We start from the raw sequence: 16,821 nt of genomic DNA on the forward strand, positions 1-16,821 counted from the left end.
CAAGGACAAAAAACCAAACACCGCCTGTTCTCACTCATAGATGGGAATTGAACAAGGAGAACACATGGACACAGGAAGGGGAACGTCACACTCTGGGGACTGTTGTGGGGTGGGGGGAGAGGGGAGGGATAGCATTAGGAGATATACCTAATGTTAAATGATGAGTTAATGGGTGCAGCACACCAGCATGGCACATGTATACATATGTAACTAACCTGCACATTGTGCACATGTACCCTAAAACTTAAAGTAAAATAATAATAAAAAAAATAGCATGTCAGAAGGGGAAACATTCATTACAGAAAGAACAAATGATGATCTTCAGAAATCAGTTTGGCCTTTAAGAGTGAGCATTATATAAGAATGCAAAGGCCGTATCCCACGTGGAAATCATTGCTCCTGTTTGTGGAAGCAATGTGTTTAAACTTGAATGTCAGAAAACTACATGAATCAACAGTGACTGGGTGAAGCAATTGAAATGCATCCAACTTCCTACCTGTAAAAGGTAATAATGTTTCACAATTATGTATGATAATAACCTTTGATGGCATGAGAACACAGCAAGGCTGAAAAAATCGTGTAAAATGGAAGTGACTTTTTGAAACTGACTCTCCTGAAATTCAAATTCAAGCAAACGTCTGACCACCTTCTTAGGAGGTGGGGGCTCCTTGAGCGATTGCTGTTTGGACCACACTAGATTAGCCTTTTTTACTCAAAAGTAAAAAGTACTTAGCCATAAGTACTCAAAAGACATTTTGAACGCTGTGTTCTGAAAAATATTTTTACAATGATTAAAAAAGAAGTTCAGATGCAGATGCACATTTTTTATTTTAGTTTAGATGCTAGCCATTAGAAAGTCTTATGAGGGAATGGACACACACTCGTACACACACACACACACACACACACACACACACACACACACACACACACAACACAGAGGCTTTGTGCTGCTCAGTTACTTCAACTGAAAGTCCTTCCATGGAAAAAGTCATTGAAGATCCACCTGTGTTCAAAGCACAGGTATACCATGGGATAAAATTGACGAAAAATAGCCAAGAAAAAATAGCAGCTCAACTTCTCTTCAAAAGAGGGAATGAAAAGTTACGCTGTTCAGATTCCATTACTATATGTAAATATACAGAATAAATTCAGAGAGTATAATTCCTATGCTAGCAAAATTTCAAAGAAACTTTGTAAATTAATACCAAAGGAAACATTTTTTACCAGTCTATTGTGTGTTCTAGAACTTGCCGAGGGCTTTGTGAGATACAAAGGAAATAAGACATCGTCAAGTCCCTCCAATTTAAATCTAGTTGGGGCCGGGTGCGGTGGCTCATGCCTGTAATCCCAGCACTTTGGGAGGCCGAGGTGGGCGGATCACCTGAGGTCGGGAGTTCGAGACCAGCCTGGCCAATATGGTGAAATCCCGTCTCTACTAAAAATACAAAAATTAGCCAGGTGTGATGGCAGGCACCTGTAATCCCAGCTACTTGGGAGGCTGAGGCAGGAGAATTGCTTGAACCCAGGATGCAGAGGTTGCAGTGAGCTGAGACCGTGCCACTGCACTCCAGCCTAGGCAATAAGAACAAACTCCATTTCAAAAAAAAAAAAAAAATCTAGCGGGTAGACAAAACAAATGTACCTTAAAAGATGAACAGTTCAGGCCGGGCGTGATGGCTCACGCCTGTAATCCCAGCACTTTGGGAGGCCGAGGCGGGCGGATCACGAGGTCAGGATATCGAGACCACCCTGGCTAACACAGAAACCCCGTCTCTACTAAAAATACAAAAAAAAAAAAAAAAATTAACCGGGCTTGGTGGTGCATGCCTATAGTCCCGGGAGGCTGAGGCAGGAGAATGGCATGAACCCAGGAGGCGGAGCTTGCAGTGAGCCTAGTTAGCTCCACTGCCCTCCAGCCTGGGCGACAGAGCGAGACTCCGTCTCAAAAAAAAAAAAAAGATAAACAGTCCAAAGCAATGGGTGAGGGGGAAGGAGGGTTGTGTGGCTCAGATGCCGGGGGACAACATGTGCTATGGGACTAGACAGAGAAGGATTCACAAAGTAAGTGAATCTAAAGAAATTACCTGGGGTTATAATGTCCAGTTCTGGCCAGGATGCCCAAATAAATAATCATCACAAGGGTACTTGATGAATATCTCCAGAGCTTGTTACACTTTAGGGCTTACCATCTGCAAAGTGCCTTAGGTGTGTTATTCCATCTAACTCTTACACCAACACCAAAGGGGGTCCCTACTACCATCCCTGTTTTTCAGATGAAGAAGTGAGGCACAGAGAAGGTGCTCATCTTTCCTTAAGTGACAATATCACAAGCAGCCTGCAATATTAACTGCTATACTAGCCAGAGAGTAAATGCTCAGTAACTGCAGAGGCTTCTGGTCAAATGGAAAAACTATCACAAGTCTCAGTGTTAACCTACATATTTCTGCTATAGTAACAACTACTTTAAAACACAGAAATCTGGTTTGGAAATCTCGTAGATATCAGTGCATTATATAACGCAGCTATTGTACAAAGGATTTTCAATGAATTACTACCACTCAGGATGTTTGCCAATGAAATGTTGAGGTCTTCTCAGCATTCCATTCAGCTTATGATGCTGATTGTAACAAGCAGAGTTTTGGCAAAATGTCATTCTTTCCTAAATTGGAATGTCTGATTCTGCCTAGCTTTGTTAGTAGAGGTTAGGTTTAATGCATGCAACTGGATTTCATCTTTGGCCATATTTAGCCTGGAAGAAGATCTGTTAAGAGCCACCGAAGTTAGTAGTCTTTTACCTAATGGCATTTAAAACAAGCCAAGACATGGCTACATTTCACAGAGTTTTTGCTTGAGGTGACCCAGTGGTCCCTGCTAGTGACTGCCCTTCTGTTAAAATTCAGCCTGAAAGGGTATCAGGATTAAATGAAACTAAGATCCCAAGATTCCCAGCTTTTTTTGTAGCATTAGGAATCTGATTGTTTTCTTGCTGCCATTCGCACATATTGTTTGGGCTTATTATTATAGTCAAACAAATACAAAACACTTGGACTTTTTTGCGTATGTTGCATACATATGTTGGAGTACGTGTATCTATTATACAGAAACACATAAATAATGAGACATAAAATATATATCTTATAGGCCAGAGAGACGATTTTTATCGCAGATAAATTCTCATTCTGGTCCATAAGGAGACATAAGCAAGGATGATTACTGCAGAGCTGTAGTGTTGGGGAGCTGGAAGCAATGTGGGTGGATGTCACTGGGGGCATGCATGGAAAATGTGGGAGAGCACAGACTGGAATACTTTGCAGCAGTTAGGTGCAACTGACTGGACGTACTCACAGCAACATGGATGGAGTAAAACATTAACAATCAGAATGAGTCTTGAAGACAATATATCTACATAAATTAAAACTGCAGGTATAAAAAGTGGCAAAACAGGCCGGGCGTGGTGGCTCATACCTATAATCCCAGCACTTTGGGAGGCCAAGGTGGACAGATCACGTGAGGTCAGAAGTTCGAGACCAGCCTGGCCAACATGGTGAAACCCCATCTCTACTAAAAATACAAAAAATTAGCCAGGCATGGTGGCAGGTGCCTGTAATGTCAGCTCTTCAGGAGGCTGAGGCAGGAGAATCCCCTGAGTCTGGCAGGCAGAGGTTGCAGTGAGCCGAGATCGCACCACTGCACTCCAGCCTGGGTGACAGATCAAGAGTCTGTCTCAAAAAAAGAAAAAGCAGCAAAACATGTTTGTGTAAGAATGCATATAAACACATGTATGTACCATAATTCATCAAAGACATTAGAATGGTTGGTTGCCTCTGGAGGAGAAACAAGAATAAAGAGGCAATGTATAAAACCAGAAAAGAGTCTTGCATGGGCCAATGAAGCCACTGTGCTTGAACTGATGAAAAAGGCAGACTCAACTCTCTGCACCTGAGGTCCAAAAAGCAGAGAAGAAATGCATGCAACTCAAAAAGATTTTCATCTTGGGTGCTCAGCCCTGTGGCTCCTGAACGAAATGTTTGAGAGGGCAGTTAATGGTTACCAGGTGGGTTTCCTAAGCACTTTGGATGTGCTTGGATGCTCTTTAGGCCAGAGGTTCCCAGTCATGGCAGCACATTAGAGACGTGTGGGGACATAGTAAAAAATGCCACTGCCGGGCCCCACCCTCAGAGATTCTATTGTGCCTGGGCATCAGCATGTTTCAGAGCCTCCAGGTGATTCTAACGTGCTGCACCCAGGACTGAGAACCATTGATTAAATTTCTGCATTTTTTTCCTAGTGGCAAATGTTGCATTCTTTGGCATTTGAAAAGAGACTACTGAAATCAAGTTATTTTCCTTTAGCCAAACATTAATTTCATTATTAACAGAGAGCACCCAAAATAGCAAAATTAATTTATTCATTTGATCATACATCCAAAACTTTTTGCTGGGCCACTGTGTGTTTAGGCTGGGCACTGCATAATTCTATGAGGTGCTTCCACAGTGTAGTCTACGCAAATGGAGCCCCCTGGAGTTACTCAGTGCACAACCTGCCCCATAGTATGTAGCAGCCGGTCTGAGGGTCCACTGTGTGTCATGCATTGAACTCAGTGTCTTGACTATACTAGTGAACAAGATGATACAGTCCCTGCCCAATGGACCTTCCAGCTTCTAGGGAAGGCAGTCACACATGTGACTCTTGGGAAGTGTGACTGTGCTGTGGAGGGAGGGGTACTGCAGGAGCTCATGTTAGGGCTCCTCACACAGTCTGGAGGGGGCAGGGAGGGCTTGCTGGAGAAATTGAAATTTGAACCAAAACATGACAAATGAGTACTGGAGCTGGGGGAGAAGAACAGTGTTGTACACCCAGAGGAAGCATCCCTGACAAGACAGGGAGAGGTTACTGTGCTCCTAACACAGCAAAGCAGCTGCATGCAAAATGGGACTTCAAAGGAAGACAGGGCCTGCTGACACAGGGTCTAGTGGGCCAAGTTAAGAAGTGTGGACTTTATCTCATGGGCGATAAAAAAGGAAATAATCATAGATGAGGCTTGAAAGAACATTCTGGAAACAAGTGGAGTTGGGCGGCAGGGAGCTGAGAGTGGATGCGGGGGCTAGTTATGGGACTATTGTGCAGATCTGGGTAGGAGAGGGTGGTGGCTTGGATGAGAGCAGAGGTTTGGGGAGGGAAAGAGGTGGACACATGTGAAAGGTGTTTGGGAGAAACAGGACTGGAGAGTGCCTGGATCTGGGGCTGGGGGAGAGAGCTGGCACTAGACAGAGTCAGTTGGGCATTTGTTGAAAAAAGGCACAGAGAAGAGAGGAAGTCCTGGGTGGGAGGTCGGGGTGGGGAAGATGGTGACTTTGTTTTGGACATGTTGCTTTTGAGGGGCTGGTCTCACAGGCTGAGCTCCTGAGAAGTAGGTTCTGAGACAGAGTTTAGAGAGTAGGGTTATTTCTTAAAGTGCTCTCTCGAGGGCATCACAGAAAATGGGAGGAGGACACAGAAGTGCAAAGAGGGAGATGTTGAGCTGCAGGGCAGGCCTAATGACAGACTTGGCTCTGGCAGAGAGTACTCCTCAAAAACAGCCACATCAATGTGTGTTCTCACAGTGTAATGCTGGCTCTCCTCCATGGAGGGGTGGGGTTCAAGTTCCATACCTTTGAAACTGGGTGCAGTTTTGTGACTGTGTGACCAGTGTGATGTGGCATGACTTCTGAGGTCATATCATAGAAAGGAATAATAGCTTTCACCCAGCTCTCTCTCAGGTGCCTTTAGTCCACAAGTAAGAAGCCTGGCTGTCCTGAAGCCTCCATGCTGGAGAGGGCACATGGAGAAACCACACACACACACACACACGCGCGCGCACACACACACAAAGATGCCCAAGGAGCCCAGTGGCTCCAGCCCCAACAGTTTGTGTGCCCAGTCCAGGCACCAGACCTGTGAGTAGTTGGGTTTTAGATGCATCCAGCCCCAGCCTCCAAGCCATCCCAGCAGACACCAAGTGGAGCAGAGACAGACTAGCTCTTCGTTTTCTTCCCTCACCCCAACCCCTGTCCAGAATGCAGATTCATGAGCAAAGTAAATGTCATTGTTTTAAGCAGTTACATTTGGAGGTGGTTTGTTACACAGCTTTACATAACCAGCACATCAGCTCACCCTCAGGGAGCTCTGGAGCTAGGAGAGCCTTTCAGAGCTGTTCCAGGTTGAGCCAAGACGGCTGAGCTTCTATATTCCTGCACTGATCAGTGATTGAATATGAGCTTCCCTAAGAAGTGACATGACCTTGGACAAGGAGGTTGTTTCCAGTGGAGGCAATCCTGGATGATGACAGCACTTCCTGCATCTGGGGGCAAAAAGTCCCTTCCTGAAGGGGGAGTTGAGTGGCACATCACTGTGACTGCTATGGCCAAGGAGACAGCAAGTCAACTACGTAGCAGGAAAGTAGCTATTCAGGCCTGGAGTTTGGAAGGGCATGGTACTGGGAAATACCAGTTTGTATAGCTCGATGTGTTTCATCCTGTGGTCTGAGAACTGAGAGCAGCCTGCATCTGATCATCCTAATGCAGCCTCCCTGCCTGACCCAACAAATCAGTAGTCAGGATTATTGCCCAATCATCCTCATGCCCACTAACATTGAGAAACTCTGGATGAAGATGACATAAAAGCCAAGGGGGAGTAGATAAGGCATCCAAGGGAAACTACATAGGATGAAAAGAGAACCCCAGAGACACCACCATTTGGGAAGAAGATAGAAGTTGCAAAGGAGATGGGGTGAGAGTGAGGAACAGATGTGGCTTCCAGGGGGGGCAGTCAATAGTAGCAAGTGCAGAGAAGAGATCAAGTAGGGTGAGAATGCTGGAGTGTCTGTGGGATTTGGCAACAAGGAGGTTATTGTTGGCTCTAGCCAGGGCAGTTGGGGTGACTGTTGTAATTTCATGGTGCAGCCTTGGTGATATTTATCCTGAGCCTTTTGGCTGGGGCCTCTGGTGCAGAGGAAGGGACTAGAGCTGAGAAGGACCCCAGAGGACTTGATGGGATTGTTTAGGATGGGCACTCTGCTCAGAGTAAAAAGAAAGGGACTGACTAAGCAGAGGCAATGCAAAGTAAGATACAAGAAAGTAAACGAGTGATAAGTTAAAAGGAAAGGAAACAGCCCATCAGGGGAGACTAAGGACTAGCTAAAGGAGCTAAACCCAGAAGACTGTTTATTAAGCAAGTACCCATGAAGGTTTACACAACCAAAACAAGGCAACCCAGTGGAGGCCCTTACTAGAATAGTCACTTTAGTAGCCAGGAGAGCAAATGTGTTTGGAATCAACCAACTGGGATGTAGTTCCCAGCACCACAAGGCAGTATCTCCTAGGAAGCCATCTCATTTTGAGCATCCATTTCCTTATCTGTAAAATGGAGATGATCATGCCTAACTTGCTACTCTGCTGCAAGGACTGTAGCTCATTCATTTGTTCAATGAGCGTTTACTAAGCAATGCCACATGCCAGACACTACACTAGACACAGACTATATAACGGCAAACAGCAGAGACCAGGCCCACACCCTCCTGGAGTTTGTCATCTAGTGAGCAAGGTAAACATGAAATAGATTGTGACAATAGTAATGATGTCATGACATTTGTGATTAGTGCTATACGGAAGAAGAAAGACAAAGTATATTAGATGCCAAATAGTGCTTGGGACATGGTAGGTGCTCAGAAAATGGAATTTACAATCATCCTTACCATTGGGAGGATGTTTAATGGGACCATGTTCAGCAGAATTGTGAAAAGAGATACTTTATCTTTATCTTGTCTCTGCAGATTCTCTTTCTCTGCTGTTTTTCTCTTCTGAGGCAGTATGAAATTTCATTTTTGTCTTATTAAAATTTGTGGGTTTTTTTTAACACCATTAAATACTTGCAGGAAGAAGTGAACATAAAGGTGCTTTTCTTGTGAGGGTAATCGGTATAGTATATTGGTGCCTCTTTTTTTAAAAAAAATTTTGGAGCAAGGTTGACACAAAACTGACTCATTTGGCAGGAAAGTTTGCCAATATGAGTTAAGAGTGAGTCAGAGAGACATTTTACAACTTATCAGCCAGAAGAATCACTGATAATGACCTTTGTTGCCATAGCAAGTTCCTGTCAGCCATGGGATTTGATACTCTCTCCAACTCCATAACATATATTAGCTCCATTCTACAGCTGAGGAAATCAAGACTCAGAAGTTTTCAGCAGCTTATCCAAGGTCCCAGAACCGTGGCTTGCCCCAGGCCTTATTTTTCCCAAAGCCCTGTCCACCTCATCAAACTGTCTCCGGAAGAAGAAAGAGCCAGAGGGGTGCGAGATGCCAGTAGCCCCTGTGAGAGGCCAGCTATGGGGCCTGCATTTTACCCCGGTGACCACACAGTCAGAACAGTCACACTTACTTGCAGTGGCTTCGGGTCTCTCACACAGTCATCATTTGAAGTGCAGGACAGTGTGACCAGGCTCTGAGGGAAAGGTGAAGACAGCATGGCAGCCCGGTGAGCCAGGCCTGAGGATGCACAGGCTGGGGCTGGGCCCAGAAAGAGAACTGGGCAGGTATAATAGCCACAGGCTTGCCAGGAGCATGCATGTGCAGACAAGAGAGAGTAGGAGTGTGTGTATGTGTGTGAGGGAGAGAAAATGCGTGCCTGTGAATGTGTAAATGTGTGAGTGTAACGTGAGCTTGTGTTTTTGCACATGGATATGTCTGGGGGTGAATGTGTAAGAGAGCATGCATGTGTATGTGCGGGTACGTGTCTGAGAGTGCCTACATGTGTGCATGTGAAGAGTCCACCTGAAGAGGTTCAGAGTTAAGGTGATTTGCTGCCCTGGGTCACTCTGAAGTATATCTGTTCCCTGTTGACTAGGATGCTACAACCGCTTATAATGTTTTTTAGGGGGAGTCCGAAGAAACACAGTCCCAGAGTTACCCCGAGTCTCTAATCCCCCAGGAATGAAATCCCTGCACCCCAGCAGCTATCATTTAGAGCCTTTCTCAATTAGCAATCATAACGCCTAAAGCTTTGAACAGTTGTTGTATGTTTATCTTTCTCTTCAAGTTCACTCTGTTGGCTCTCATAACCAGCCAAGTTCAAACAACCTTCTGTCTGGCAGCCACGAAGACAGCTCCCCCAGCCCCCACCCCAAAGCAGTTATAACCAGACAGAGGTTGGAGCAGATTTCCATGATCTCTGTGTGTGTTCTGCTGCTTTTTTAAAAAACTGAGCTTTGTGATGTGCCTATCTTCATCAAGGATTTGCGGTGGCTTACAATATTAAAAATACACATCCAGCAGAAATACTTCAAAAACTCAGATCAAAACTCAATTCTAAAGAAGAGAAAGAGGTTCCATTGTGTGTGTTCTGTTGCTTCCCTTATGGTAAAATAAAGCCATGAGAGGTGCAACATTGGGTAATGGTTAAGAATATGCCTTGTCTGAGCAAGGTGGCTCATGCCTGTAATCCCAGCACTTTGGGAGGCTAAGGTGGGTGGATCACTGAGGTTAGGGGTTCGAGACCAGCCTGGCCAATGTGGCGAAATCCTACCTCTCCAAAAAAAAAAAGAGAGAGGAAAATATGCCTTTAGGAGTTACACACTCTGGCTTTTAATTATTGTACTGTTTGTTTTCTCTAAGCCTAAGTTTACTCATCAATAAAACAAAGACAATGATAGCCCTACCCTGTATGACTGAAGAATGGAATAAGATAATGTATATAAAGTGCTTAACACAGTGCCTGGAATACAGTGAGCAGTCAATTTAGCTAGGTGGTTGTTATTTTCACTGCCATGGTAGGATTTGAATGATATCCACGTTGCATCTCTTTTTGGTGGTATGCAGAGATCCAGGTGGAAATTCCCCCTCTCTTCTGGTCCGCTGGGAAGAGAGGTGAAATGAATACGGTACTAGAGCCCCATCATCCAGTAGCCAAGAGCAGATGTGTGGCCTGACTTTGTGTATGGCAGCAGGGTTGTTTAGGCTGCATGAGAGAGTACGTGATGGGATTTCCTTTAATTTTCTGTTTTTCAGTTTTGGTTTTGTTTGCAAGCTCTGCTGGGCATTTGCATGGGCTGGATTGGCTTGCAGGCTCTGTGATCACTAGGAATAGGGCTGAGCTGAGCCAAGGTGATGGCTTGTGTTCAACTGCAGGTCAGGTGTGGCTCCCTGGGGCATAGTCCTGGAAGACCTGTGGGCCTCCTTCTAAGGCCTCCTTGAGTTCTGTTGATCTTTGAGGAACAACAGATCTTAAGGGCAACTAATCTCAGAGAACATGGTAGCCTCTTCAACAGACCCAGCCTATAGCATAAACACCTCCATGTGGGTTTTTTACTCAACCCGAAATATCTAGACACACAGTCATCACATGCATACATTCCTGATGTCTCCATCAGGTGGGTGAGAGGTGATCTGTGATCTCTTTAAATGTAGTGAAGTGCTCAGGACAGTCCCACTGAGCCTTCCTACCCACTCAAGAACACTGCTACCTTCTATCTTCCCCTTGGCATTACCTCAGTTTCCCAGATTTCTGAGGCAAGCACCCTCTGTACAGGCCTGTGTGGGGAGTTACCCCAGGAGCTATCAATCAGATCCCACCCAGTAGTATTATCCATGTAGATGTCTGTCTCGCATTCTCACCCTCCACCCAACAAGTTGGATTCAAGGGTTGGAGCCGCCCATTGTCTATCTATGCATCCCCATCCCCACCTCCAACTCCAGGTCTCCTTTGTGCCTGGCACTGAGCAGGTGCTGTATAAATATTTGTTGAATCAGGGCATGAGTATGAAAGTAAGTGAGCAAAGGAAGGGCGCATTTCACAGAATGAGAAAATAGTAAAGCAGAAGTCAACCCTGCCAGTCTTTAGATTAAGCACCCATATAATACAGTCACGGACACAGAGGCCAGGACTCCCCTAAGCGGTGGAAGATCTCAGTGGCAGGACCAGAGTCCAGATGTCCCATTCTTGCTGTGACCCTGGGCTGCTGCGTGTTCCCTCTCTCAGTCTTCATCTGTCATTCTCAGAGAGAGACTCCAGAAAATGCCTGAGAAACAGCGGAGTCCACTTGGGTCTCTGTCAGCCCCACCTCTCATTGAAGTCAGTAGTTCATTAACCAGGATATAACTTGGGCTGGCCTCATTACAAAACCAAATCAATAAATATTGATTGAGTGCCCCCTATGTGGACAACCAGGTGAGAATGAGGGAAGACAGGAAACAAGAGAAGAGAGAAGCCTTGTGCATATCTGCCTTACAAATGGTTGGTCTGACACCGCAAGTCATGTCCCTAACACAGTCCAGAGGACATAGCAGGCATGCCTGTGGGCTTTCAGCACTAAAGATAAGGGGAGATGGTGTCTCTTCTGGCTCCAGAGAAAGCCCCTTTCCCCCTCAGGTGAGAGGGAGAGGAAAGAAAAATGTTATGTAAATAATGAGTCCACAACTACACCCTGTTCATGCACAAAATTCCAGGAATGATTAAACCTGACTGTGGCTCCAGGATAAATGAAATTTAGCGTTCCAATTGCCCTGTGCACTTACACGCACACTTTCTCTTTCTCTCTCTATGTCACACTGACACACACACAGTATGTTGGTGCGTGTCTATCAGCTTGTAACTGGCCCACAAGGAAGGCAGTTCTTCTGATGAGAAGGTGATACTGGGAGCCCTCAAAGACGCCCACTGTCCCTCCTCAGCCACTCTTTCATTGTGTCCTGGGCACATCGGTTAGCTGCTCCAGGCTTCTACTTGTCCATTTTAAAAAAGGGAATACTACCAGCCAGTCGTGGTGGCTCACACCTGTAATCCCAGCACTTTGAGAGGCCAAGGCAGGAGGATCACTGGATCACTTGAGGTCAGGAGTTCAAGACCAGCCTGACCAACATGGTGAAACTCCATCTCTACTGAAAAAAATACACACACACACACACACACACACACACACACACACACACACACACACAATTAGCCAACATGGTGGTGCTCACCTCTGTAATCCTAGCTACTCGGGAGTCTGAGGTGGGAGAATCGCTTGAGCCAGGTAGGCGGAGGTTGCAGTGAACTGAGATCATGTCACTGCACTCCAGCCTAGGTGACACAGTGAGACTCTGTCTCAAAAAATAAATAATGAAATAAATAAAATAAAAAAGAGAATACTCCTGAGACACATTCCTCCTGGGGAAAAAAGAAAAGAACTATAAATATCATTATTTATCTGCTTTACACTATGCTGTGACTATAATCGTGCTTCATAGATATAAATACTCCTTAGAAGTTGAAATACGGTATGCCTCACATAGTCCAAGTATTTTTCAAAGGCCAAGTCCATCCTTCAATATACCACTTTCAATGGTGGATAGACCAACTGGACAGATCAACAAGGAAATAAAAGACCTGAATAACATGTAAAACAACTAGGCCTAGCTGCCATTTGTGGAACCCTCCACCCAACAACAGAAGAATGCACATTCTTCTCAAGTGCAAATGGAACATTCTCCAGGATAAACCATGGGCTAGGCAACAAAACAAACCTCAATACATTTTAAAAGATAGAAATACGGGCCAGGCGCGGTGGCTCACGCCTGTAATCCCAGCACTTTGGGAGGCCGACACAGGCAGTTCAACTGAGGTTGGGAGTTCAAGCCTAGCCTGACCAACATGGAGAAACCCCAACTCTACTAGAAACACAAAATTAGCTGGGTGTGGTGGTGCATGCCTGTAATCCCAGCTACTCAGCAGGCTGAGGCAGGAGAATCGCTTGAACCCAGGAGGTAGAGTTTGCAGTGAGCCAAGTTCGCACCATTGCACTCCAGCCTGGGCAACAAGAGCAAAACTCCGTCTCAAAAAAAAAAAAAAAAAAAAAGGAAATACTACCAAGTGTGTTCTATGAACACAGTGGAATAAAATCAATAGTAGGAAAAAAGTTGGAAAACTCACAGAAAGAAATAGCCTGACATGAATGAAAATGAAGATGCAACATATGAGAACTTACGGGAAATATCTAGGGCAGTGACTAAAAGGAAATTTATAGCTCTGAATGTTGACATTAAGAAAGGACAAAAATTTCAGATCAGTAACCTAACCTTCCACCTTAAGAAACAGGAAGACAGCAAACTAAATCTAAGGCAAAAAGAAAGAAGAAAATTACAGAGACGAGAGCAGAAATTAATAAAATAGAGACTAGAAAAACAATAGAGAAAAATATCCATGAAACTGAAAGCTGGTTCTTTGAAAAGATCAACAAACTGACCAAAAGTCTGCCAGGTGCTGTAGCTCGCACCTGTAATCCCAAGACTTTGTGAGGCTGTGGAGGGAGGATTGCTTGAACCCAGGAGTTCAAGACCAGCCTAGGCAACAAAGGGAGACCCTGTCTCTACAAAAAAAAAAATACAAAAATTATCCAGGTCTGGTGGTACACACCAGTAGTCCCATCTACCTGGGAGGTTGGGGCAGGAGGATCCTTTGAGCCCAGGATGTCCAGGCTGCAGTGAGCCAAGATCGCATCACCACAGTCTAGCCTGGGTGACAGCGAGACTCCACCTCAAAAAATAAAAATAAAATAAATAAAATATATTGACCCAAAGTCATTCCTAAACAGAATTCACTGTGGATAGGGCCCTCAGACAACTTACTCATGCTTTACCATGGCCAAGGAGGTTGAGGCTTCGAGAGCTGGTGGTGTGGCCAAGGCAGAGGTAAGATTGGAAACCAAATGTCCTGATCTCCACCTGAGGCTTCTGACACTCTCCCTCCTCATTTAACACCTAATAGCAAATCAAATGCTTGTATGTCCACTTATATTTGAAATGCAACAGGAAAACCATTGGAGAGAATTTTACCATTATGTAAGATAATAAATATTCAAATAAGTCAAATCATTGTCTACTATTTTGTCTCCAACATAAATCAAAAAGTATTTATTTTTATTTGCTTGAAGTAGATTACTCTTCCAAGCAAGCTTGAAGTACATTACTCTTCCAAACGACCTATTTTCTCTGGTTGTTTAAGAACAACCGAGGACCGCAATAGATGTGGCAAAAGAGAATTTGAATAATGTGCCTATAAACAACTATTCTCCTGCAAATTCAGGTAGTTCAAGACCAGCCTGGCCAACATAGAAGTATTTTATATAAACTCAATTAATCTTCTAAAAAATTCTATGACATAGTTGCTATTACTGACTCCACTTTACAGACGAAAAAACTGAGATGGAGAAGTTAGGTAATATGTCCAAGGTCATAAGCAGCTGAGCTGAGCATCATTAAGTCTGTGTTCTTAACTATGCCACATAAACAGCCCCTTGAGAAACCCAGATTTAAGATCTGGCTCTATCAACTATTGTTTATGGTGATGATGATGATTTTAGCCTCTTTCTTTTAAATTCCTACTTATTTCCTCCAGCTGAAATCCTCTTCAGGAATTAGAGCAATTAGGAATCATAATATGATAAAATGTTAGAGCTGTGAGGGACCTTGGAAACCATATAAGCTAAGCCTCTATTTTACAGATGAGGAGACTAGGGTCTAGTGTATTTACATAGTTGTTGGGTGGTTGTTAATGATAGAAGAACGATTTACATATGGTACAATCAATCCAATAGCTCTGGTTTTGTAGTGACAGACCTCCAAACAACAAATTTATTTTCTAGATCTTTCTAAAATAAATTCTGGATCTTTCTGTAAAGGAAAGAGCCTAGCCCAAGTGTTCTGAACCCCGGCTGTCTATCAGAATCACCTGAAGAGCTTATAAAAGATACTCAGTGCCAGGCATGGTGGCTCACACCTGTAATCCCAGCACTTTGGGAGGCCGAGGTGGGCAGATCACTTGAGGTCAGGAGTTCAAGGCCAGCCTAGCCAACATGGTGAAACCCTGCCTCTACTAAAAATACAAAAAAAAAAAAAAAAAAAAAAAAAATTAGCCAGGCACAGTGGCACATGCCTATAATCCCAGCTACTTGGGAGGCTGAGGCAGGAGAATCACTTGAACCAAGGAGGCAGAGGTTGCAGTGAGCAGAGATCGCGCCACTGGACTCCAGACTGGGCAACAGAGCTAGACTCTGTCTCAAAAACAAAAACAAAAACAAAAAAAAACAGAAGACACTTAGGCCTAGGCTCATAGAACCAGAATCTCTGGGGGGACAGAATCTGAACTGCATGTTTTTTGACCACCCCAGGTAAATCCCATATACAGCAAAGGCGGAAAACTACTTGCTTAGCCCATATGTGATATACTCAGGTCGGGTGCGGTGGCTCAAGCCTGTAATCCCAGCACTTTGGGAGGCCAAGGCAGGTGGATCACGAGGTTAGGAGTTCGAGACCAGCCTGACCAAGATGGCGAAACACCAACTCTACTAAAAATACAAAAATTAGCCGGGCGTGTTGGCGCATGCCTGTAATCCCAGCTACTTAGGAGGCTGAAGGCAGGAGAATCGCTTGAACCTGGGAGGCGGAGGTTGCAGTGAGCCGAGATCACACCACTGCACTCCAGCCTGGGTGACAGAGTGAGACTCTTGTCTCAAAAACAAAAACAAAAACAAAAAAGTGATATACTTTTGCTGCTTGGCCAAACTAACACTTTATTTTGTCAAGGAGTCCGTTGGTGATTGTGGAACAGTTTTTCATTCCATAGGTAGTCCTTCCTAAGTAGGGTTTGGGCATCTCAGAAAAACAAAGTTAGTTAAGTGTTTTCTCAACCTACTGAAAAATAAAAGTAATTATAAAAGAAAAATTAGTGTGACTGTTGGTGTCTTGAACTCTTTTGTGAATAAAAAACCACTTCATGGCATGCAGCCACTTCCTGGTATTCCATAAACAAGACACTAAGTTTCAGAAGGTGAGGGTGGTAGAGGCAACACAAGCTTTTGGAAGTAATTGGCATGTGTCTGTCTAATCCAGTAAAGCCTTGCAGACCTACCTGATATCCACACTGATCTTGGCCTTGGCCTTCCCTCTCTCAACATGCAAAGCCATTCCTCTCCCAGGCCCACCATGTGGCCCCTAAGTTAAAACCAAGCTAAAATGGAAATATATTTAGTTGTTATAAAAAAATAAAATGTGGGCAGTCTCCCAACAGAAATAATCAGCCTGCTTGCCCAGAGGGCAAGTGCTAATGTATCAGAGCAGAGGAATGAAGTGGGGAGGAAACAGAAGGCTGTCTCCCAAGCCTGGTCCCTAACACCCTGTGCACTCAATAAACAAACAGCCATTTGAATCACTTTGGTTCTCCTTTTTTATTATTCTGCAGAATGATAAAGACCTAAAGCCTGTTTATATAGTGTTTTCATGGCTAGAGTTGTATAAAACTGCATTTTGTCAGTTTGAATAAGTCCATTTGAATGAGTCAAATTTTTTAAAAGCCTCGAGATCCAACAGAGCTGGAAGAAAGTAGGGGTGGGGGTTAAATGGTTCATTTGAGATGTTTGCCTTCAGTAACATGAGAGGGAAAGCAGAACAAATGGGCAGGACAGGCAAGGAGGGGCACGGGCTAACACCAACTCTGAAGGACACAGAGAACATGTTGGGATTCAACACCCACTCTAAGGCAGAACTCCCTGAAGCCTTGTGAGTTAATGAAAGCTCTTTGACAAACAACAATGGACAGGAACTAAAGCATCAGGATCCAAGGGAAACAATTATACATGGAAAACATAGTTGAAATGCTTCTTATACTTCTAAAGGAGAAACAAAGTGCGTGCTAAGAATATTGAATGTCTCAATGAGTTGTACCTAGGATCAGCTTGATATTGATGAGAAAATGTCAATAAAATGATCACAACATCACATTACGATCTTACCTTAGATTCTGAAATCTG

General features: G+C 44.3%; 1 annotated feature.

Annotated features, from left to right (window-relative positions):
* Positions 16,238-16,738: an enhancer, noted in NCBI's record as "OCT4-NANOG-H3K4me1 hESC enhancer chr8:102472256-102472756 (GRCh37/hg19 assembly coordinates)". NCBI's record gives its function as "activates a minimal SCP1, AML or CMV promoter by ChIP-STARR-seq in naive H9 embryonic stem cells {active_cell/tissue: H9 hESC(naive)}" and the evidence as "EXISTENCE:reporter gene assay evidence [ECO:0000049][PMID:30033119]".

Source organism: Homo sapiens, chromosome 8 (genome assembly GCF_000001405.40).
Source record: "Homo sapiens chromosome 8, GRCh38.p14 Primary Assembly".
Classification (NCBI taxonomy): Eukaryota; Metazoa; Chordata; class Mammalia; order Primates; family Hominidae; genus Homo; species Homo sapiens.